The sequence below is a fragment of the Homo sapiens genome, chromosome 2, assembly GCF_000001405.40.
Source record: "Homo sapiens chromosome 2, GRCh38.p14 Primary Assembly".
NCBI classification, from domain to species: Eukaryota; Metazoa; Chordata; class Mammalia; order Primates; family Hominidae; genus Homo; species Homo sapiens.
Genome location: NC_000002.12, coordinates 130,708,981 through 130,733,616, shown reverse-complemented (window position 1 = coordinate 130,733,616; position 24,636 = coordinate 130,708,981). Strand labels below are relative to the sequence as shown.

The 24,636-nt window shown below is 43.3% G+C and overlaps 1 protein-coding gene across 1 annotated transcript, besides 4 other annotated features; it reads right to left on the bottom strand.

The window, feature by feature from the left end:
* Window positions 1-3,280: 3,280 nt before the first annotated feature.
* On the bottom strand, window positions 3,281-4,547 carry GPR148 (G protein-coupled receptor 148). Its single transcript, NM_207364.2, has one exon. It carries the CDS (start codon window positions 4,463-4,465, stop codon window positions 3,422-3,424), a length of 1,044 nt encoding a protein of 347 aa, NP_997247.2. The 5' UTR covers window positions 4,466-4,547; the 3' UTR covers window positions 3,281-3,421.
* Window positions 4,818-5,396: an enhancer, noted in NCBI's record as "H3K4me1 hESC enhancer chr2:131485794-131486372 (GRCh37/hg19 assembly coordinates)". NCBI's record gives its function as "activates a minimal SCP1, AML or CMV promoter by ChIP-STARR-seq in naive H9 embryonic stem cells {active_cell/tissue: H9 hESC(naive)}" and the evidence as "EXISTENCE:reporter gene assay evidence [ECO:0000049][PMID:30033119]".
* Window positions 5,397-5,976: an enhancer, noted in NCBI's record as "H3K4me1 hESC enhancer chr2:131485214-131485793 (GRCh37/hg19 assembly coordinates)". NCBI's record gives its function as "activates a minimal SCP1, AML or CMV promoter by ChIP-STARR-seq in naive H9 embryonic stem cells {active_cell/tissue: H9 hESC(naive)}" and the evidence as "EXISTENCE:reporter gene assay evidence [ECO:0000049][PMID:30033119]".
* Window positions 5,745-5,914: a silencer, noted in NCBI's record as "silent region_11961". NCBI's record gives its function as "represses an Ori minimal core promoter by ATAC-STARR-seq in GM12878 lymphoblastoid cells {active_cell/tissue: GM12878}" and the evidence as "EXISTENCE:reporter gene assay evidence [ECO:0000049][PMID:35858748]".
* Window positions 6,298-6,825: an enhancer, noted in NCBI's record as "H3K4me1 hESC enhancer chr2:131484365-131484892 (GRCh37/hg19 assembly coordinates)". NCBI's record gives its function as "activates a minimal SCP1, AML or CMV promoter by ChIP-STARR-seq in primed H9 embryonic stem cells {active_cell/tissue: H9 hESC(primed)}" and the evidence as "EXISTENCE:reporter gene assay evidence [ECO:0000049][PMID:30033119]".

The window sequence follows — 24,636 nt, the reverse complement described above, 5'->3', positions numbered from 1 at the left end:
AATTGGAACTTATCATGTAGTCACCCTCTTTAGTAAGGCTGTTTTGCTTTAAATTCAGCTTTGTCTCTTCTATTGGCTTTCATTTAGCGAGTTTCTATCTTTTTTTTTGAGATGGAGTCTCGCTGTGTCACCTGGGCTGGAGTACAATGTCGCGATCTCAGCTCACTGCAACCTCCACCTTCCGGGTTCAAGCAATTCTGCCTCAGCCTCCTGAGTAGCTGGGATTATAGGTGCCCTCTACCATGCCTGGCTAATTTTTGTATTTTTAGAAGAGACGGGATTTCACCATGTTGGCCAGTCTGGTCTCGAACTCCCAACCTCAGGTAATCCTCTCGCCTCTGCCTCCTAAAGTGCTGGGATTGCAGGCTTGAGCCTCTGCACCCAGCCTGAGTTAAGTTTTGATTGGAGGATCCAGGAAAGGCTTTCTGTCTTTTTCTATACTCCCAACTATTGCTTTACTTCCACCCATTCTCTGTTGTTTGTTTAGCATAATCTCTTATAAATAACATATATCCAATTTAAAAGTAAATGGACAATATTGTTTCCCCACCATCAAATTTTAGTCATTTAAATTTATTGTTTTAGTAGATTTGAATTAGTTGTTTGGATTCTATCATATTACTTTATGCTTTCTATTTGTCCTGACTTTTCTATATATTTTTTCTTGCCTTCTTTTGGCTGAGTGATCTTTTCTCTTACTCATTTCATTTGTTCCTTAGATTATTTAGAGAGTGATCCTCGTTTTGTCTAGTCTGTTAGTGGTTACCTCATTTCAACTTGCATGCCTAACAAAGTCTTAGATTAATATCTCTACCTTCCTCCTGAAGACTGCTAGACTTTAGAATGCTTTAAGTACAATTACACCTTTCTGACACATATACCACTGTTATGTAATTCTTTTTTTCCATTTTTTCTAAACCGTTAAATTAGACTTTTTTTTTGGAGACAGAGTTTCACTCCTGTTGCCCAGGCTGGAGTGCAATGGCACAACCTTGGCTCACCGCAACCTCCGCCTCCGGGGTTCAAGTGAGTCTCCTGCCTCAGCTTCCCGAGTAGCTGGGATTACAGGCATGCGCCACCATCCCAATACAAAATTTTGTATTTTTAGTAGAAACGGGGTTTCTCCATGTTGGTCAGGCTGGTCTTGAGCTCCCGACCTCAGGTGATGGGCCCCGCCCCGGCCTCCCAAAGTGCTGGGATCACAGGCATTGAGCCACCATGCCGGGCCGAAATTAGACATTTTTATTGCTTTTATGTAGGCAACTAGACAATAACTATTCCTATTTATGTGCATAGTCTCCAGTGACTTTTCTATTTCTTCATACATCTCAAACCTTCCACCTGGAATAATTTTTCTTCTGCAACAAATACATCCCTTGAAGTTTTCTTAATGTGTATTGCTAGGAATACTGTCTTTCAGCTTTTGTGTTCTATCAAGGTCTGGAAAGGTTTTTCTGTATATAAAATTCTAGGAAGACAGTTATTTTCTCAGCACATTGGCAACATTATTCCAGTTGCCAAGGCTTCCATGTTTTTTGTTTGTTTGTTTGTTTTTTGAGATGGGGTCTCGCTCTGTCGCCCAGGCTGGAGTGCAGTGGTGTGATCTCGGCTCACTGCAACCTCCGCCTCCCGGGTTCAAGCGATTCTCCTGCCTCAGCCTCCTAAGTAGCTGACAGCACATGCCACCAGGCCTGGCTAATTATTATTTTTTTTTTTTTTTTGAGACGGAGTCTTGCTCTGTCGCCCAGGCTGGAGTGCAGTGGCGTGATCGCGGCTCACTGAAAGCTCCGTCTCCCGGGTTCACGCCATTCTCCTGCCTCAGCCTCTGGAGTAGCTGGGACTACAGGCGCCCGCCACCAAGCCCGGCTAATTTTTTTTGTATTTTTAGTAGAGACGGGGTTTCACCATGTTGGTCAGGCTGGTCTCTTCCATTGTTTGAGAAGTCAAGGTGAGTTTAATTGATGTTCTTTTGTCTTTTATCTCTGCCTGCTTTAAATATCTTGTCTTTGTATTTAGCTGTTTGCAGTTTCGCATCATGTGCTTCAACGTGGGTTATTGGTCATTTATCTTATTTATGATTGGTTAGATTTCTCGGATCTGAAGTTTGATATCTTTAAACAAATCTGAAAAAATCCTCAGCTGTTATCGCTTCAAATATTTCCCCTCCTACATTTTCTGTATTGTGTTCCCAAATTAAATGTATGTTAGTCTTTTCCATCCCAACCTCAATGTCTCTTAATCTCTCTTTTATATGGTTGTCTCTTTGTCCCTCTGGGCTGCATTTTAGGTAATTTATCTGGACCTCTCTCACAATTTGCAGAGTCTGTTTCCAGTTGTGTCTAACATGCTCTTTAATCCATATTAAATTCAACTCATAATTCTAATATTTTTGTTTCAAGAAGTTCTATTTAAATATTTTCCAAATTTTCTTGGTTATTTAAAAAAAAGTATTATCCCTGCTCATATTTTCATGTCATTATTAATGTCTTAAAACATCTTGAACATTTTTATATTAACCCAGTGTTGATAATTCAAGGAGCTGTGGTATGACGCTGCTGTCTTCTTGTTTCTTCTTGCTCTCATTCATGGTGCCTTATCTCCCTATGTGGTTTTGTGAGATTTGACCATGTGCAACTCCATTATTTGAGGTTCTTTGACTCTGGAAATTCTCTGCAGCCTAAGGTGAAGCTCAGATCGTCCAGGAGAACCACACCAACCACAGACTGAGGTCTTTTTACCACTAACATAATTTGAAGCCTAGCTCTAAAACTGTCTGAAGAGTGGCTTCTACTTAAGAATTCTCGAGGAATTTTCTTCTTCTACACAGCACGAAAGTCAAGGCAGGCAAACTCCCTTGCTGACCCCTTCTGTAAGGTTAGGTTATCATTTACCTTTATTGTGAGAGTGTAACCCTTGCACACTCCAGCTTTATAGTGGTATCTCCATGACACTCTCCACTGCTGTGGATCGTTGGCTTCCTTTCCTCCCTCCCACATCCTGAGCGGCTGCTCAGATAGAGCTCATGGTCCCAGGACTCAGCAGCTCTGCTTGCTTACCTCTGTGGTTCTCACTGTCAGCAACATTTTGGCTTCTGTGTGTTGGTCAGCAAGGATGCATCCACAGTGGCCAGGGAGGGTGTGCAGCAAGCCATTGGAGGGACGCAGATCAAGGCTTGACTTAGACCAGAGCCCTGCTTGATTGCCTTTACTTGCTTCCGTTTCCAAGTAGGATTTCAGTGTCATAAGAGAGCTTTCTCTACTTAAAAACTGTCAAAATGGTGAAAATCATCAGTTGAGGTCTTCTGAAAGGCCCAATTCCACTATTATATTGTGCTGTTCTAAGAAGTTAGTCATAAGTGGACACTGCTGCATTCAACATATGATTTTTAACCTCAGCTTGCCAGACTGTGGACTCAAGAACTCTAGGAAATGGTAAAGATGGCCTGGTGCCTCCTGGATGGGAGGTGGCCCCGGACCATGCCCAACAGCTGCCGGTAGCGGAGCAGGTACAGGTATGTGAGCATGGCACGGGGAAGCATCATGAGTACCTCACTGTTAGCTGCCAGGAGCCATGTGTGAGTCCCAGAGTCAATGTGGTGGTACCTGGTCAGCACCATGTCCAGGGAGAACACCACCCCTGTGCTCACGTACAATGTGATCAGCACTGAGTGGATCAGCAGGGTGCCCCTGGCCCGGGAATAGCCCTGCCCCCAGATGCCTGAAGTCTTGGCCTCTGCATAGATCCTCCAGAAACAGTTGGCAATGAGAGCTGTGCAGAGGAACAGAACGCACAGAATGGAGGTGTAGGTAACAATGACCAGGAGGCCACATCCCGGCTGGGTGCCCATGCTTGGTGGTAGGATGTATGAAGCTCCTTGCTCCTCCAGCTGGGCATCCTGCCACTTGCTGAGCCAAATAAGGAATGTGGGGAAGCAGCAGGCCACCAGCCAGATGAGGGCCACTGCCTTCCAGGCAGCCCCATGGGACATGAAGGAGAGGTAGCGCAGTGGATGGATGACTGCCAGGTAGGTGTGCAGCACAATGGCGGTGAAGGACAGGATGGTGCTGGTGCAGGCGGCGAAGACAGCATCAGTGAGAATGCCACAGGCCATGCGGCCCAGCTCCCAGCCACCCAGGCTGCTGGAGGAGATGAGCATGTGGAGGAGAATGTAGGCCAGGTCTGAGAGCAGGATGTTAGCCGGGAGCAGGTAGTGGGGCTCCTGTCGCAGCCGTTGGTTCCGCAGGATGGTCACCAGCAGCAGGGGGCTGACAGCCAGTGTGGCTGCAGCCAGCAGGCTTGAGGGAAGGAAAAGCCAGTACAGCATGGAGCTGGGCACCCTGAGGTCCCCCAGGCCCAAGGAAGTGTTGCTGGCTGCTTGGGGCATGCAGGGTGTCTTGCTGATGAGCTGGATCAGGGCCGGCCAAGCTGTAGTGCCCACAGGGCAAGGTGCCAGCTCATCCCCCATGCTTCCTGGCAGGGATGGCTGGCTTTGTCACAGGTTGTTGATTCTGCACCTGCCTTGAGTGTTGATCTGCCCCACAGGGGTCCTGATGGCACCACTCCTCTGTAGAGATGCCAGGCTCGGGCAGGCCTTAGGAATGACTGCTTAATAAAGATAAAAAAACCAATGTGAATTCAGACTCACACCTGGCTTCCTGCATTCACATCTCTGCAACTGTGCAGCTGCATGTGCGTGGGTAGACATAACAGATCATCCCACTGCCACCATTTTGCAGTCACTGACCCCTCCAGAAGTGTCCCCTATCTCAGTGGCCCCCAAACCTGTCTGCTTGGCTCACAGGGAGTGTGCAATGGATTCTCACCACACTGGATTATATTCCGGGCTGCCCTCCTAGAAAGGAAGGAGCAGCTGTCTGGAACTAGGATCGCTGGGCTGTAGACCTGGTCTGACCTCTGTCGAGCTAGAGGCTCAGCAAATTGGACCAGGCTGGAGGGGCCTGGGCGCACTCACATTTCCTCACAGAGCCTTGGGTATGGTCTCCAGCTCAGGGTGACCCTGTGCATGCGTGTGAGTGTGACTCCTACACCCCTTCCACTCAGGGCTCCATGTGAGTATTCGGTGCCCCCAAAATCTCAGCTGACTTGTGGGGTCGCTGTGTGGTAGAAACGTCCCTTCCTCTGGGGAGGAGGAGGCCTGGCAGGCAGAGACCTCATAGGAGCTAGTGGGGAGGAATGGAAGGCAGGTTCCCCAGGCACCTGGCTTGTCGGGGGTGGGGTGAGCTCAGTCAGAGCCAGTGGCCAGGGTGGCTGTTGGTGTTTGGGGATCCAGTTCAAGTGAACAAGCTCTCCCGCTCTCTCGAGGTGTTGGCTGCGTGGCCTTGAAAAGCTTTGTTCCAGTTTCCTTATCTGTGAAACACGAATGCCAACCACACTGACCTCAGGGAAACGTTGCGGAAGCCCAGAGGTAAGGGACTCAGCACAGTGCATAGCCTGAAGTAAATGCTGAGTCAATGTTAGCTCTCCCACCTACAGCATCCTCCGAGGCTCGGTCCCCTCTGCCCACAGATCCCTGTCATCACTGCAGAACGGGCTGCACTTGGCTGCTGGCAGCCTGAGACCCCTGCCCAACACCCACCGCCGGCCTGGCAGACTGCTCCAGAAGGCAGGAGCCGCGTGGGAACAGGCAGGATATTTTTAGGGCCAGGAAGAGGCAGAAATTTCAGACTCTGGGTGTGAGACCACGTCCACTGCTGCCCAGGGACCATGCTCGTCACAGCCCGAGACCACGTCCACCGCAGCCCAGGGACCACGCCCAGAACCGCCCCTGACCACGTCCGCCGCAGCCCGGGGACCACGCCCGCCGCAGCCCGGGGCCACGCCCACCACAGCCCCGGACCACCATCATCGCAGCCCTGGGACCACGCCCTCCATAGCCCAAGGCCACGCCCATCACAGCCAAAGACCACGCCCAGAACAGCCCCGGACCACGCCCGCCGCAGCCCGGAACCGCGTCCTCCTCTGAGAGCCTGTTACGCAGCTGCCAGGAGCAGCAGCGCCTGCGCCTTTTTGGCCGATTACGGTACAGAAACTAAAGGTGGTTCTGAGAAAGCCCATCACCCCTTCCAGAGAAACCGCGATGCCATGGGGCGGACCCCGCCTCCCTGCCCCAGCTGCCCTGGCCTGCACTCCCTAGGGGCCCCTTGTACTTTACAGATGCTCTGACCGGTCTAATCGGCCCCAGGCCGGGAGAGGCAGCAGAGCCATTCGCAGGCCACGCTCTCTGCGCGGGTGCCCTGTGTGCTGCAGGGCTGAGGGCCAAGGCCGAGCCTCTCTCTGCTGTCCAGCCCAGCACAACGACCCTCGCCGGCCTTTGGGGTCTTAGAATGCAGATTCCCTGGGAGAGGGAAACTCGTTAAATGACAATCCCTCAGTAAAAATGTGGTTGTGAGCTAAATCCTTATAGCCGGTGACGGGGTGACAAGCAGCAACTTCATGGAATCGGAAAGCGCGAAACTCCCAAGGTGAAAAAGCCGCTGGGATGATACAGAGCCTGCCTCCTGCTGAGAATCATCTTAGGAATTAAATAGCCCATACAACAATCTCAGAGCACCGAGCGGGTGCTGCCCCTAAGGGAACATCAGTTTGGTCTCACTTGCCGAGGTTCCCTATCCAGGCTGCCCTCCTGGGAAAATGCAGTCCGGGGCCCTAGGGAGTGCAGCCCAGGGCGCGGGGACAGGGAGGCGGGGTCCGCCCTATGGCATCGCGGTTTCTCCGAAAGGGAAGATGGGCTTTCTCAGAACCACCCTTAGTTTCTACACTGTAATCAACCCCAGATGTGGGGTCACCCAGTGCCAGCTCTGGGGTCACAGAGCTGGCCTCCCTGGTTAGGACCCTGCAGCCTTTAACTCCTTTGCCCCGTTCCTGTAATCATTATGGGTCAGGACGGGCCTGCTGGCCTTGGGTGCAGACGCGGGGTGGGTGTGCAGCACAGGCTAGTGAATCTGAACATAACTTTGGAAGTTGAATCTCAGCCATCCGTGGCCCTTCAAGAGCCTGGGGATGCTGGAGTGTCCCTGCCCTCTAGGAAGGTGGAGGTAAACTGAGGCTGTAGGCGTGCCTAATGCAAACATGTTTAAACCACAGAATGGACATGCTCCTGGGTCCTCCGGCTGAGATGAGGTAACAGTGACCACCCACAGCCTCATCGTGGAGCACCTTCTGTGCAGGCACTGAGCACACTCACAGAAATGACATGCTGCTCTGTGGGAAACTGAAGCCCAGGGAGGTTAAGTGCCCTGCCTAAGGTCACCTTTTGAGAGAGTTCAGTGTTAGTAAGAAGCCATCTTTTGGCGGGGAGCGGTGGCTCACGCCTGTAATCCCAGCACTTTGCACTTTGGGAGGCCGAGACAGGCAGATCACCTGAGGTCAGGAGTTTGAAACCAGCCTGATCAACATGGAGAAACCCTGTCTCTACTAAAAATACAAAAATTAGCTGGGCGTGGTGGCACATGCCTGTAATCCCAGCTACTCAGGAGGCTGAGGCAGGAGAATCTCTTGAACCCAGGAGGCGAAGGTTGCAGTGAGCCAAGATCACACCATTGCACTCCAGTCTGGGCAAGAAGAGCAAAACTCCATAAAAAAAAAAAAAAAAAAAAAAAAAAAGCTCTCTTTCCTGAGACATGCAGACCCTGTTGCTATGGCCCCCAATGGTGGCAGCAGGACAGGAGTTACTCACCGTGGTGTCAGGTCAAGGCTCGGGGAGTCAGAGGGTGGGCAGTGGGCACTGGCAGAGGTGACTGAGACTCCCAGCTGGGCCTCCCATCACACAGCAGCTCCCAAAGGCAGCTGGCAGCCAGGTTGAAAAGGATTATCTAAACAGGGGTTCTTGGTTTCCTGGCAGCAATGCAATGTCCCTCAGCAACTGGCCATGTCACCTGACCTAGCTGCAGGAGCAGAGAAAATCTCCAGCCCCCCCGCCCCCGGGCCCTCATCATTGCACCTGGGTACATGCATGTGTGGCAGAGGTAATACACAAAGAACTGACGTGGCAAATTCTGGGTACCATTTTACATTTCCTTTCATCCTCCAGAACCCTGATGAGGATCAGGAAATTGACATGCATATGAGGCCAATTAATTTTCCCAAGGCCACCTAGCAAATAAGTGGCAGAGAATAGGCATGTCTCACTCCAAATCCTGTGTTATTTCCATCCTCGCTCCATCTGTTCCCTGGATGATCTTTCTACCTCTACCTTCCTGGCTGGCATTGGTACTGGACTCTTCATCATTATCATAGTCTCCATCAATATCAGTCAACATATCTTTATTATCTTCATGTCTTCATCACTATTACCATCACCCTCACCCTTATCTCATCATCATCACCATCACCATCATCACATTACCACCATCACCATCACCATTGTCATGATCTGTTTAATGCTACTATAACAGAATACCTGAGACTGGGTAATTTATAAAAAACAGAGATTTATTTCTTACAGTTTTTGAGGCTGTGAAGTTCAAGTTCAAGGTGCCAGTGTCTTGTGAGGGTCTTCTTGCTCGTCATGCCATGATGGAAGGTGGAAGGGCAAGACAGCACATGTGAGAAAGAGAAGGGAAGGAGGCCAAACTCATCCTTTTATCAAGAACCCACTCCCAAGATAACTAACCCACTTTCACTTCCATTATAACACCATTAATTCATTCATGAAGAAAGAGCCCCCATTACCTAATCACCACTTAGAGGTCTCACCTCTCAACACTGTTGCATTAGGGATTAAGTTTCCAATACATGAACTTTAAGAAACACGTCCAAACCGTAGCAGCCATATCATCACCACCACTTTTGTTATTACCACCATCATTATCATCACTATCTTCATCAGCACCATCCATCACTATTATCATCATCACTATCATCAGCACCATCATCACTGTCAACATCATCATCATCATCACTATCATTAGCACTTCATTACCATCATTATCATCAACACCATCATCACTATCATCAGCACCATCACCACCATCATTATCATCATCACCATCACTATCATCAACTCCATCATCACTGTCAGCACCATCATCACCATCATTACATCACTATCATCAGCACCATCATCACTACCATCATCACCATCATCATCCTCCTCTTCACCATTATCATCACCACCATCATATCATGTTGTGATGGTGATTATCCCATATTAAATCAAACTCCCCACTGATTTCTCATCACTCTTAAGATAGATAAAAACCAAAATCTTGGTCTTAATGCACAAGCCCTACAGCAGCCCATCTGTGTTAGCACATTCTTACATTGCCATGAAGAAATACCTGAGGCTGGGTAATTTATAAAGAAAATAGTTTCATTTTGGCTCACAGTTCTGCAGGCTGTACAGGAAGTGTGGTACCAGTGTCCTCTTCTGGTGAGGGCCTCAGGATGCTTACAGTCATGGTGGAAGGCAAAGGGGGAGAAGGCATGTCACATGGCGAGAGTGGAAGCAAGGTGTGGGGGGAGGTCCTAGACTTTAAAACAACCAGATCTCACATGAACTAACTGAGTGAGAGCTCACTTACCACCAAAAGGATGGTGCCAAATCATGGGATCTGCCCCAGGACCCAATTACCTCCCACCAGGCCCCACCTTCAACATTCAGAATCACATTTCACCATGAGATTTGGATGGGACAAACATCCAAACTATATCACTATCCCTTGTCCCTCCCACATCAATCCTCTGTGCTCCAGCTCTCTTGCACCCCTTCTACTCGTTAAAGAATGCACAACCTTTGTTATCTGGGGACATTGCTACCCTCTTCGCACATTTCACTTCTGCTCAGCCAGATCTCAGTTTGAATGACTCTTCTGGAAAATGTCTCCTGATGCTTAGAATGGACCTCAGCTCCCTGCTTTATACAGGCATACCTCAGAGATAGTGCAGGTTTGGTTCCATACCAGCACAATAAAGTGAATATCACAAGAAAGCAAGTCACATGAATTTTAGTTTCTCAGTCCATGTAAAAGTTATGTTTACACTCAACCCAAATGTCCATCAATGATAGACTGGATTAAGAAAATGTGGCGCATATACACCATGGAATACTATGCAGCCATAAAAAAGGATGAGTTCATGTCCTTTGTAGGGACATGGATGAAGCTGGAAACCATCATTCTGAGCAAATTATCGCAAGGACAGAAAACCAAACACCGCATGTTCTCACTCATAGGTGGGAATTGAACAATGAGAACACTTGGACACAGGGTGGGGAACACCACACACTGGGGCCTGTCATGGGGTGGGAGAAGGGGGGAGGGATAGCATTAGGAGATATACCTAATGTAAATGATGAGTTAATGGGTGCAGCACACCAACATGGCACATGTATACATATGTAACAAACCTACACGTTGTGCACATGTACCCTAGAACTTAAAGTATAATAATAAAAAAAAGTTATGTTTACACTATAATGTAGTCTAGTAAGTGTGCAATAGCACTATGTCTAAAAAAAAATGTATATACCCTAATTTTCAAATACTTTATTGCTAAAAAATGCTAACAATCATCTGAGGCTTCAGCAAGTGATAATCTTTTTGCTGGTGGAGAGCCTTGCCTCGATGTTGATGACTGCTGACTGATCAGGGCGGTGATTGCTGAAGGCTGGGGTGGCTGTGGCAATTTCTGAAAATAAGACAATGAGGTTTGCTGCATTAATTGACCCTTCCTTTCATGAAAGATTTCTCCATGGCATGCAGTGCTGTTTGATAGCATTTTACCTACAGTAAATAGAACTTCTTCCAAATCTGGAGTCAGTCCTCTCAAGGTCTACTGCTGTCTTATCAATGAAGTGGATGTAATATTTCAATAACATTCACAGTATCTTCACCAAGAGTAGATTTCATCTTATTAAACCACTTTCTTTGCTCATTCATAAGAAGCAACTCCTCATCTCTTACAGTTTTATCATGAGATTGCAACAATTCAGTCACATCTTCAGACTCCACTTCTAATTCTAGCTCTCTTGCTAATTCCACCACATCTGCAGTTACTTCCCCCACTGAAGTCTTGAACCTCTCAAAGTTATCTATGGGGGTTGAAAACAACTTCTTCCAAACACCTGTTAATGTTGACATTTTGAATTCCTACCATGAATAATGAATGTTCCTATTGGCATTTAAAATGGTAAATTCTTTCCAGACAGTTTTCGATTTACTTTGCCCAGATCCATCACAGGAATCACTATTTATGGCAGCTATAGCCTTATGAAATGTATTTCTTAATAAGACAAAAGTTGAAATTACTTATTGGTCCATGGGCTGAAAAATGAATGTTGTGTTAGCAAGCACATAAACCTTAACCTCCTTATATACATCTCCACCAGAGCTCTTAGGTGCCTTGTCAATGAGCAGTAATATTTTGAAAGGAATCTTTTTTTCTGAGAAGTAGGTCTCAACAGTGGGCTTAAAATATTCAGTAAACCGTTCTGTAAACAGATGTGCTCTCACCCAGGCTTTATTGTTGCATTGATAGAGCACAGGCAGAGTAGATTTAGCATAATTCTTAAGGGCCCTCTGATTTTCAGAATGATAAATAAGCATTGGCTTCAACTTAACATCACCAGCTGCATTAACTCCTAACAAGAGAGTCAGTCTGTTATTTTGAAACTTTGAAGCCAGACATTGACTTCTGCTCTCTAGCTATGAAAGTCCTAGATGGCATCTTCTTTCTTTTTTTTTTGTTTTTTGTTTGTTTGTTTGTTTGTTTGTTTGTTTGTTTTGACAGAGTCTCACTTGTCATGCAGGCTGGAGTGCAGTGGTGTAATCACAGCTCACTGCAGCCTTGACTTCCCAGGCTCAGGTGATTCTCCCATCTCAGCCTCCCTAGTAGCTGGGACTACAGGCATGCATCACCATGCCTAGCCATTTTTTTTTTTTATTTTAGTAGAGAAGGAGTTTCTCCATGTTGCTCAGGCTGGCAGCATCTTCTTTCGATAGAAAGCTGTTTCATCTACGTGGAAAATTTGTTGTTTAGTGTAGCCACCTTCATCAGTTATTATGGTACATACCTTGTATGCACTAAGGTATGCCTGTACTCATATATTGCCCTTTATTCCTCTTACACCATTTACTACAATTTTTCTTAATGTTTAATGTTATGCCTAACCTTGCTATCAGGATCAGCTCCATGAAGGCAGGGGCTGTGTCTGTCCTGCCCACTGGTGTACCCTCAGTGCCTATTGTGCAGAGAGGCAAATGCCAGACTGAAGATTATTAAACGGCTTGTCTTTAAGGCCAGCGGATTTAGATGGGGGGAAAAGATGAAGAGGAAATCTGAGGCCAAAGACTCAGTTTGAGCAGAGGCCAGGGCCACGCCATGGCATTTCACATGGGCTTCCTTGGCTGTGACAGGAAGGTGGAGAGAAGCAACTTAAACTGCAGAGCAACAAGACTAAACTCAGCATCTGCAAGGACAGAGTGAACATCCAGGTAGACGATGGGCTAGAGGAGTCCTGGAAGCAGAGGGAAGTGTCCTTGTGATGGGCCAGAGGTAGGGAAGAGGAGTGCTCCTCCAAAGCCAGGTTTTAAATTGATCAGGAGTGTCAGAGGTATGGTGCTTTTCTGGAACACTCCTCGAGATCTGAGAGATCTTGAGCATATTGACATCATTGCAATTAGATTTCCAATCCATATCAAAGGATATTGGAATGTTGCTGCATCTCTTGGTTAAACCTGGATTTTAAAAAATAATTAAGTAATATATACTGCTAAAGATAAACTAATTCTGACAGCTCCCATAGTCCCCCAATATTTCTCCCTCCTTTCTTTCAATTTCTGGCTAGACCCCCTCTACCACACTGAGCTCCTTGCCAGGCTGGGTCTCTTTGGCCCTGTGCCCCAGTCCCACTTCACATGGTGGCTGCTGGCTCAGAGCGGTGCCCAGTCAGTTCTGGAAAGGATAAATATAATGATTGTATGCACCTGGGGGCGCTGGCAAGGATGATAATGGTGTTTGGTCCTTCTTCCTGGCATGCAACTGGCCTGCCTCCTGCTCCTCCTAGTGTGCGTAGGCTCTCCTCCTACACACACTAGCATCTCTATCACCCTTCTCCTCATGGCAGAGTGACTTTTTATTTATCCACTGACTTGAGTGGTGGAGTTTATTTTATTGGATTTTGGCACACATGTGAAGCCTTTGAAAAGCCTCTTTAGTCGATGACCATATTTCTCTTCTGACCACCATGTCCACCCCCCACTGAAGCCTCCTGAAGGTCCATGAAGTCTGGATGATAATTAAAGTCATCGCAGCTGGTGTCCTGGTCTGCAAAGCCCTGTGGCTACCCTCCCTGCAGGGCGGCAGCTGCCCCACCCACTGTCCTCTGCTCAGCACACCCCGCCCATGCCCAGCCCAGAGTCCACCCACGCGCTGCCCCTCTGCCTGGAGCACTCCTGCAGGTCCCGGCCTGTTGTGTTCACTTAACTTTAAAGATTAATTGGCAGGGTGCGGTGGCTCACGCCTGTGATCCCAGCACTTAAGGAGGCTGAGGTGGGTGGATCACAAGGTTAGGAAATCAAGACCATCCTGGCCAACATGGTGAAACCCCCTCTCTACCAAAAATACAAAAATTAGCTGGATGTGGTGGCGCGTGCCTGTAATCCCAGCTACTCGGGAGGCCGAGGCAGGAGAATCACTTGAACCAGGGTGTCGAAGGTTACAGTGTGTGCACCCCAATCACTGCTTACAGTATAATCAGTATGACGATGAGATTGAGGGGGTCTAAATTTAAGTGTATCATCTCCTGTGTTATGTGAAAATATCCCTCAGTACAAAACATTTGTGTATTTCACAGATGACTCTTGTTTTGCCATAACGCTACAAAGTTTATGGAAACTAGTCAACTGAAGGATTTTTCTGTTGTGTGATATGTAAAGGTCTGAATAGTAAAATCATCTTTGCATTCCTGAAGTGTTAAAAAATAATAATCAACATGTCAGATTGTTGGGCTTTTCTTAGCAGATGTTTTCTAATTCAAAGTTTTTGGTTGTGTTTTTGTTTTTTAGTTCAAAGTTAATTTGTTTGCCTCTTGAAGATTAATTTGTCTAAGCTTTCTAGGAACTGCCAAACAGTGATATTCTCAAAAGGATTCAATAAACTAGTTCAAAAAATGTTCCTATCTTCTATTGCCTTAAATCTAATCACGTTCTGTGAACTGCAGTCCTAGTGTGTAGCACGGCGTGATTTATCACCCAGAGTTCTCCACTGTATTTCAAAGTTGATTTACCTCAGGAAAACTGAGGGTTTATTGAGTAACTCAAATTTTTCCAGAGAAACTGGTTTGAAGTATCCAGTGCAACTTGCCAAGCTCTGTCTTTGTTTATAAACTCACTTACTGGTGACATCATTCAGGGTAGTCCCTCTCTAAAAACCTTGAATTTTGTCTGGTCTTCTCGGATGAGGAATTCTGAACCTGGTACAATCTCATTCTAACTCTTCTCTTATGTACTAAGTACTTATATTATATACCTTTCTGTAACTTAACAGGAAAAGGCTGACCATTTTTGGTATTTTTTCAGTGACACATTTTTCAGTGTCTAAGCTCACACTCATTTGTAATTAACTACATGATTTTTAATATAATTTCTACTACTTTGGGTTTTATTTCCCAGGTATAGACATTGTCCTTTTAATGTTTTCTTAAGGAATTATTCAGAGTAGATTATTAACAACTTAAGGTCCTAAACAGATATACATGGGACATGGTTGTTGTAAAAAGAAACAAATCTGTAAGACACTAGGAAATTCAAAATGCTTTCAAGCTTTCTTTGAACTTTACTACTGAATGATTTATTTGCAACTCATTATCTGGTGTAGTGGGGAAGAGCTACTTATGTCTCTTTAAGCCAAGATATATTTAAGATAACAATAAAGATAAAATATATATTTCACTATCCAGATTTGATTTTGACACAATGAAAAGCTGATTGGTTCACAATTAAATGGACAAATTTTCCACAAGTAAGAGATGAAACTCCTGGCTTGGAAATCCTGGGGATTGACAGGTTGAATGTCCTTGGTCTGTGGTGAGCATGTTCACATTTCAACACATGAGATCTGGTGTGCTTTCCGTATCAGCTCCTCAGATTTTGTGAAAAACTAGAAGATAATTTTTTAAAAAGCAATGTTGAATACTTAGAATCATATTTCTAATAAAAATAAGTCAAACTATTTAATTTTGATAAACAGTTTCAAAACTAAACATGAACTGAACTTATACTTGATGACATAATTTTGTAAATTCATGATGAATTTGTCTTATTCTGATTTATTTACTGTTTTAAAAGATAGATGTTTCTTTTCTACCACTGTGAAAGTGTAATGTGTTCATTGTATTTGGAAAACGTGGAAAGTAGAAGATGACTGTTCTTACTTTTTCACTTTTACAGAGGGTAATTTTTTCCACACCATAGAAGTAGAATAATCATACTTCTAATTTGAAAATTTGAAAATGTAAAAAAAAAAAATTAATCCAAGATCATATGAACATTTAGGGCTAAGAGTTGAGATTATACTGAATATGGTTTTGCATTGAATATATTACAAGCCTTTTTGTGTCATTTAGTATTTGATAAAACATGATTTTTAATGCCTGAATACTTTTCTAACACTTGTATGTATTGTTGTTGATTGAATCTTTCCTCTATTGTGGAACATTCAAATTGGATCCAAGTTTACCATAAGTAATAATACAATAAAAATATCTATACATTATTTGTGATGTCTCTGGTTGTTTTCTTAGAGTGCCACCTTAATTATCTTTGTGAGAAAGTCCTCAAGAATCCTGCCATTAATTCAGATACTTTCCCTGCTATTGATATGTCCCTTTAAGAGCTCTGAAAATACTTAAGAAACTTAGTAAGAAGAAAGAAAATTAATCCTCTCTTCTGATTCTTCAGTTCCAATTCTCTGTGGCCACTGGATTTTTAAAAATCCTGTTGTCCAAAGCAGCTCCCATTTAATTGTTTCTCTCTGACAGTAGGGAAACTGGAAGTCAGAGGTGATACCATAAAAGGAAATGAATGAAACAGATGTATGAATTTTGATACATACAACAGATGTCTTTTGATCACACTTCCTGGGCAATATAGTAGTAATCAAAGGAAAACTGGTAACATTTTTGGTTACTATGCTTTAAAGAAAAATTTATAAGCCTCACACAGCTGACATGGTTTATTTACCTTCAGGAACACGGTAGTACTTAGCGTAAGTTAGAATCCATTCATTATTACGTGTGACTGGAGAGATATATTGCTTAAAAGCTATACCAGGCCCTACTTAGGAACAAGTTACAACTGCATTTAAATCACTCTGTTTATGTCAAAATAGTTAAAGTTAAATAGCAGAATCTAGAGGGGGTCTTGATTAACATGAGACAATAAATATTTGCAGAATCTGATGCCTACCAGAGGAAACTCTAACCCAGACAGGAAAGTTCTTCAGAGTGAAAATCAAGAAGGGTGAGAGTGGCTATGCAATAGAAGTAAGCCTTGGCCTGGACCCAGACAAGATCATTGCACAAGAGATTGGTTTTGGAAGTAGATTTGGCTGAGATTAAAGTCTTGAGTGACATGAAGACAATGTTAAAGATAAATCCAAACTCTTCTTTATTGCTTGACACTTTTCCAATCAGCATCAACTTCATTCCTGGTAAGTTGGTGTAGCATGGTGAGTTCTGCCTTATTTCATACTTTATTTGGTTAGAATCTGGGGGAGGGGGTAAAGGTGCAGGTTGGTTATTTCAAATGTGCAGACGGCCTCCACCAATTTTGCAGTATAGTGCTATTACTTCAGGGAATACACCCATAAAACTTTGATTTCCTAGTAATTCTGCTTTTGTGCATTCTTAATTTGAGACTCAGTGAGGGTGAAAGAGTTGTAGATTTGGCAAACGCTGCACTATTTTCTCACATTTTTTCGATTTGCTAAGACCAATAACAAATGTATTACCCCTTTTTTTCCTTTAATTTTTAAATCCATGGCCTTTTCACTGCCTTTACTTTCCATGTGTTGCCACTGTATCCTCCACTGTATCCCCCACATTGGGCCCAGCACTTGACACTTAGTAGGCACTCAACCAATACTTGTTGAGTGAACAAGTTTAATGCATTCTAGTTTTTTTAGTTTTTAGATGATGTTGTGCCTAATGCACACTCCTTCCTTCTTTCACTCCTTCATTAATCCTTTTGTTCATGTCTTTTACTTATGCCAAGCTGTCACACTGTGTGCATGAACTGAGGGATTTAGTTTTTCTTCCACAGCCCCAGAGCCAGCAAATGACTGACCTTAAACCTAAAACTGTAGGAGTTTGGTCAGGGTGGTGGGAAAAGTTGTAAGAAAAGGTTATAGGGAAAGACACAAATCTTCTTGGAAGAATGGGAGGTTTTGCAAAAGCTTCAAAGGAGAATTTAGCTGAAGGCAGTTAAATTCTCTTAAGAGCAAGGGTTAGATAACAAGGGAATGTAAAGAAACTTATCTAGATAAATTGTTCTACTTATATCTCTGGAAACCAACCTTTGATCATTCATGTGCAGGACTGCTCTCTACTTGCAGGGGTTGACAATGTTAATTACCCACAAATTGTGTTTGCTCCAAGCCCTTGTCATTAAATCTGTACTAAATAAATTCAAGTGGGGCCAGCTTAGGGGGCTGCACTCCTTTTGGCTGCTGCACTCTCTCATTGGCAGTGCTGAGTGGTGCAGTCCCCTAGCTCACTGTCAGGAAAAATACCTGTGTCAGGGAACTCCTTTCATTCATCGCTTGGCCAGAGTCTGCGGGACAGATCAGCATAAAACACCCATTAGTTTTCACCTTTACTCTTGCAGCATGAGTTATAAAGCCAAAGACCTCAAGAAAAGCACACTCCTTAACAGCCAGTTCAGAGGTGACAGCCAGCGAATAAGAAATAAGAACCTTCCAGAGGATGGAGCCACCACCAAAAATGACAGAAAAGAGGGTTCCTCCCAGAGAGTAGATTCAGAGGCTATTTAAGGAATTTCTCCATGCCCAGTGTAGGGAGCTTCTCACTACTTGCTACTCAGGATTTCCTTATGATTATAATCTAGGGACTGCTGCTTGCCTGCCTGTCTTCTCTTTCCTGCATAGCAGGTTTCTTTATTTGTTTAATTTTATTTTTTTCTTCAATTATGGTGGTCTTTTCACTGTTCTACCATGACAAGAGGTAGAAGAGAGACATTTTTTACCCCTACATGGGAGGCAGAAAATTGGCCTTTTTATTCAAGAATGCCAAACCAGAAGCTGACATATCAGAATCTGATACAAAGGATAGTCTATTCCCCTTTGGACTTTGGACCTTGGACTTTGAACTGGATGCAATAATGGTATGAGACCCTTGGGTAGGAATGAGTGTCTTGTATGTGTGGGAAAGACAGGAAAGCAGATATTTGGTGACCTAAAAAGAAGGCCATGGCAGAACCTCATTAGCTATTCAGCAATCCTATTTTCCTTTCCTCCTGGGCACACAGCTATGTATTTTCCAGCCATCCTTGTACTTAGATGTAGCCCAGTGACACTTCTGAGAGTGGAATATGGACAGATGTGATGGGCACTGCTGGGACTGGACCATAAAATCCTTCCACATTATGTCAGTGCCTCTTTTACTCCATTGGCAGCTGGATATTGTCATCCAGAGAGATGGATGACTTAGAAGCCACGTGCAGAAGATGGCAACCTTCCATCAGCATGGATCCTTGAGTGACTGTGGAGTGCAACGCCTTCTACCAGTTAGAACTACTGTGATTGACAATCACATTTCATTTGTATTAAGCTACTGATTTGGGGGGTTTATCTCCTTCAGCTCCCACATTAGTACAACTCATGCAGAATGGAGAGTGACTGTGAACACACATGGCACAGGCTGGTGAAACCTAGGACTTTATAGATGAATTTCTGATTATACTCTCCTTTCTTGCAAAAAGCTTTTTTCAAATTAAATGTTATAATATAAATGTGAATACTAAATGTCTTTCTAATGAAATGATGACTAACTGTAGAAAAGAAAATGTAGGAATGTATACATCCTTGATAAGAGTGTGAAACTGACACAGGCAATGTAGAGAGTCTTGCTTACGGATAATGAACAAAAGAACATACCTGGGTAAAAGAAATGAGAGGTTACTGATAACAAAACTAATATTTATATTGCACAATATAAAACATTATTTTATACTTAGGATTACATTTGATTTTTGCAAATCCCTGTGAAATAGCTATTATTATCAGATCCACTTTATGCATACTAAAAACAAGACTCATATGGGTTAGCTAACTAGGCTATGGTCTCTCCACCAAGCTCTACTTCTCTGATTGAGGAGATAGTAGTAACTAGAGCTTCAGTGTTCTTTCTACCGCCCTATGCTACCACCCAGTGCAGATGTAAGAACAAAACCTACTAGTAACCTGCTATTGACTGTTTAGAACTTTAGCAACTTTAATTATCCAAAACATAGCTGTGAGACCAAAAAGAGGAAAACAGTTTGCAAAAGCCCACATTTATTACACCATGAAAGAGCCAGGTCTGTGAAATGTTGCCTAGAATTTGTGTACTAAACTCAGCAAAATGAATTAACAAACTCAGTGACCTCATTTTCTCCTAAATTTCAGTAAATGGAAGATTTAAAAGATGAGAAAAATAAAGACAGAAAATTTCAGTTGACAGGGTAGAGGACCCATTGAAAGATTGGATGTCTATGTGTGGTATGTAAAGGCAGGTCCTACGAGTGTTAGGCCGGCCTAGGCACGTGTTCTCTCTTTTTTGTTGTTTGATTCTCAATTTATGACAAATGAAGAATGAGGCCTTTACCTGGTCTGGATCGACTTGTTATGGAGCTCACGTGAAATGAAAATGATTCATAAACAAAACTGATCCATCCCCAGCAACAGCAGAGATGACCATGAACAATTAGCCACCTGAGAATCCTCAACAATTCTTGGGGAATGCCAATAATTACATTTTATTAAAGGGCAGGGATATCCAAGCTGACATATGGGTTACAAAGGCAAAGTATAATTTCTTTATGGGTTTTGATAATGTGAAATATAAATTAATAAGCTTTTCAATTTTACTAATACAAACATACCCATCAATTGGTCATCTTCAATTCAGAAATAACTAAAGTTTGAGGGTATCTTAAATCCAAAAAATAAAAACAAAAACCTAACCAGCAGCCATTTGCTGAATTCCTGAGTGCTTAGGACTCTCCATTTCTAGTCTAGCAAACATCTTCCAGTTGCAATTTTAAACTTTTTTCCCACATCTTTCAAGAAACCTCTAATAGTATCAAGTTCAGCACACAAAGCTAGCTTTCTGTAAGCAGTCTCATCTACCCACCTTTACTTTAGACAGGCCCCTAAAGTCAACCTTAGTATAAAAAGGACTTTTCTTTTATTATTAAAAGTCTGTTCTCTAGCCAGGTGTGATGGCTCATACCTGTAATCCCAGCACTTTGTGAGGCTGAGACCAGAACATTGCTTAAAACCAGGAGTTCAAGACTACCCTGTACAATGTAGTGAGGCCACCATGTCTACAAAAAAAAAAAAAAAAAAAAAAAAAAATTAGCCGGGCATGGTGTTGCACATCTGTGGTCCCAGCTACTTGGGAGGCTGAGGTGGGAGGATCACATGAGCCTGGTGGATGAGGCTGCAGTGAACCATGGTCATGCACTGCCCTCCAGCCTTGGTGATAAGAGCAAGACAGATGTTTCAATAATTAAAAAAATAAAAGTCTGTCCTCTGCCTCAAACGGACTTTGCTGTTATATTAAAATGATTGAAATATGTATAAACCAGGTGTGGTGGCTCACACTTGTAATCCTAGCACTTTTAAGAGGCTGAGGCAGGAGGATTGCTTGAGACCACAAGTTCAACACCAGCATAAGCAAGATAGTGAGGCCCTATCTGTATAAAAAGTATGAAAACTAGCCAGCTGTGGCTGTGTGTGCCTATATTCCCAGCAGCTCAGGAGGCTGAGACAAGAGAATCCCTTGAACCCAAGAATTTGAGGTTACAGTGAGCTGATTGTGAACTGCACTCCAATCTGGGAACCAGAGTGAGAACCTGTCTCAAAAAAAGAAAAAAAAAAAAAAAGAAAGAAAGAAAAAGAAAAGAAAAGAAGAAAATATGTATAAATGAATGTTTTAAATTGGAACAATTACTATAGCATCAAAACGCACATTTGATGAGATGTGAAAATTTATTCTTAAGTATTTATCCATTTCTGGTTTTGTAGCAAAGGCATTATTATACTTCTATAACTTGTCTAATAGAATCAGATAGAATCAAGCAAAGTTGGCAGAGCCTAGGCATCTACCTAAAAGAAATGCTCTCTCCCATTTCCGTGAATACATTAACTCCTCCTGAGTTCCAGTGGCACTATTTCTGGAGTCCTTTTCAAGGCACCTAATCCTAAAGCAGGTGTCACTTGTTACTCTCTTTCAAAGCATCTTGCTCTTTTTCTTCACAGTACTTTTCAAAATATTTAATATACATTTATTTCTTATAGAAGTTGCCTACCTCACTGGACTTTAAGATCTATGAGGTTAATCCCATGTCTGTTTTGTTTTCTACCTTATTGCCCCTGCTCCCCAGGCACAGAGCAATATGTACCTGACGTATATTTGGCTCTCAATACACATTTGTCATATTTGTGTGTGTGCTTGTTCAACTTCTCTCACTCTGTTTGTGTGTAGGTGTGTACTTTCTTGTCATTTTGGGACACTTAGGAATTTCCTTATTTTGCTTCAAGTTCAGCTATGCATTAAAACTATTTTATAAAAACTTTTTTTTTTTTTTTTTTCAGAAAGAGTTTCACTCTGTTGCCCAGTCTGGAGTGCAGTGGTGTGATCTCGGCTCACTGTAGCCTCTGCCTCCTGGATTCAAACCACTCTCCTGCCTCAGCCTCCCAAGTAGCTGGGATTACAGGCAACTGCCACCATGCTCAGCTAATTTTTGTATTTTTGGTAGAGACAGGGTTTCACCATGTTGTCCAGGCTGATATGGAACTACTGGGGAGTCTGAGATGGGAGGATTCAGCTACCTTGGCCTCCCAAAGTGCTGGGATTACAGGGGTGAGCCACTGCACCAGGCTTAACATGTTTAGGTGTTTTATATCAGAAGACATTTTTCTGGTCCTCTATTTCAGGAGTTGGCAAACTTCTGTAAAGGGCCAGATAATATTCTCAGCTTTGCGGGCCATGTGATTTCTGTCCCAACTACTCAACTAATTCACATTTCCTGTCATCATCAGCATCACTTGAGTTCTAATCTTTTATTATTATTTAAGTAGTAGGAAATCTTCTAGCTGTCAAGATACAAAAGACCTTCAATGGGAGTGTCAGACTCTAAAAGATAAAGCTCAAACTCCCTCCCATATTTGAGTATGAATTTAAAGCTAATATTTGCTGAGCGCTTACTGTGGTTCAGGCACTATTCTAAGTGCCTTTCCTATGTTAACCTTTTTACATCTCACAATGGTATGAAAGAGAATGACCATTATAATCTCCATTTGGAAACTGAGGCTCAGTTACATAAAGTTACACCACGCAGTGGTGGATAAAGGACACCAACTCAGGTCTGACTTCAGAAACCATGCTCCACTCAGAATGCTAACCCCCTAACACCCAGTCTTCTATCTCTTGATGAGTTCTGAATTATCACGCAGGTATTCACCCTTCTCCAGTAGCGACCTTGCCTCAGAAACACATAATCTCACCCCAGCTTCAGAGAAAAGCTGATTGATCTCCATGCACTCTTACATTCTAGACAGTGATTGGCTTACGTCTGAGGTTTCTCAACAAATTAGTACATGGCATAATCTCAGGCCACAGGGGCTGGCCAGAAATGGACAGGTAACCTTAACTAAGCTGATGCGATGGGAGGGAAATTTGCTGAGGGTTTTTAGAAAACAAGTTTCATCAATCTTGGGAGAAAATCTTGAAGAGGGCCAGCCTCTCTTCATCCAAAGATTGCCATATTATGTGTGCAAAGCTTGAAGCTACAGCAAACATCTTATTCATCATGAGGATAAAACCAGAACAAAGTGGCAGAGTTGAGAGACTCAAAGACCAAGGCAGCCAGAGTTCTAGTTGAATCACAGCTGCTCACCACTCTAGTGCTGGATTTTTTCCATTGTACATCAATACACCACCTTTGTGTTTTAAACCAGTTTCAACTGGCTTTTCATTCATTGGAATGTAACCTGACTGCAGTTATTTGAAATCTTTCAAGATCTGGCCTCAGCATACCTTTCTAGTCCTTATTTTTACTAGTCTAGGGCTAAATAAATTACCCAGAGTTTCCCAAACACACCACAGCTTTCATGGATTTGCAAGCGTGATTCTTTCTGCCTTCATTGTCCTTTGCTCTCCTCTCCCTGGAGAATTCATGTTGGGTTGCAATTATGTTTTAAATGTCTGTCTCCACCACTTGATTTGGCTACATGATTTTTGTCTTTACACTCTTTGCACTTCTCATGCACTTAAGACATAATAAGGGCTCCATTAAGTGTCTGTAAGATTAATTAAAAAGATGGGCAACATGGAAATCTGAATCATAATATAAACTCTCTCTACAAGATACTTGGCCTGGTGCAGTGGCTCATGCCTAATCCCAGCACTTTGGGAGGCCAAGGCTGGTGGATCATGAGGTCAGGAGTTCAAGACCAGCCCCGCCAAGATGGTGAAACCCCGTCTCTACTAAAAATAAAAAAATTAGCCGGGTGTGCTCGTAGGCGCCTATAATCCCAGCTACTTGGGAGGCTGAGGCAGAAAATTGTTTGAACCTGGGAGACAGAGGTTGCAGTGAGCTGAGATTGCACCACTGCACTCCAGTTTAAAAAACAAACAAACAAACAAAAAAACCAACCATTTAGATCAATGCTGTCTGGTTAAATATTCTGTGATACCTGCCCTGTCCAATAAAGAAGCCGCTAGCCAAGTGCGTCTATTGAGCATTTGAAATGTAGCTAGTATGACGGAAGAACTGAATTTTAAATTTCATTTAATTATAACTGATTAAAAGTAGCTAGTGGCTACTATACTGAATATCACAGATGTAGACAACAAATTTTAAAAATTTTCCAAACATGGGAATGAGTCACCTAAATGATTTTAGATACCAAGCTGAATAAAAACATCTCAAGATGGTACTACTTCGGCTCTAATAATTTTTTTGTTGAAAACAATATCTATATATTATATATACAAATACATATATACACACATATGCATATAAATATATACACATATGTATATATATATAATCTGGAGGTTTCTTTCCTTTCAAAAATACTTCATACCTGTAACTTAAAAAATATAATTTTATCTTTATTGTCTTTATTTTGAATTTTCAGTCATTTCAAAATTAATATGAGCAATATCATTAAAAAGTGGGCAAAGGATATGAACAGACACTTCTCAAAGGAAGTTGGCCAACAAACATATGAAAGAAAGCTCAACATCACTGATCATCAGAGAAATGCAAATCAAAACCACAATGAGAGACCATCTCATGCCAGTCAGAATGGTGATTATTTAAAAGAGTCAGGATACAATAGATGCTGGTGAGGCTGTGGAGAAATAGGAATGCTTTTACACTGTTGGTG

Coding starts and splice junctions, on each gene's coding strand:
- GPR148 (NM_207364.2), bottom strand. CDS start 4,465: ATGGGGGATGAGCTGGCACCTTGCCCTGTGGGCACTACAGCTTGGCCG.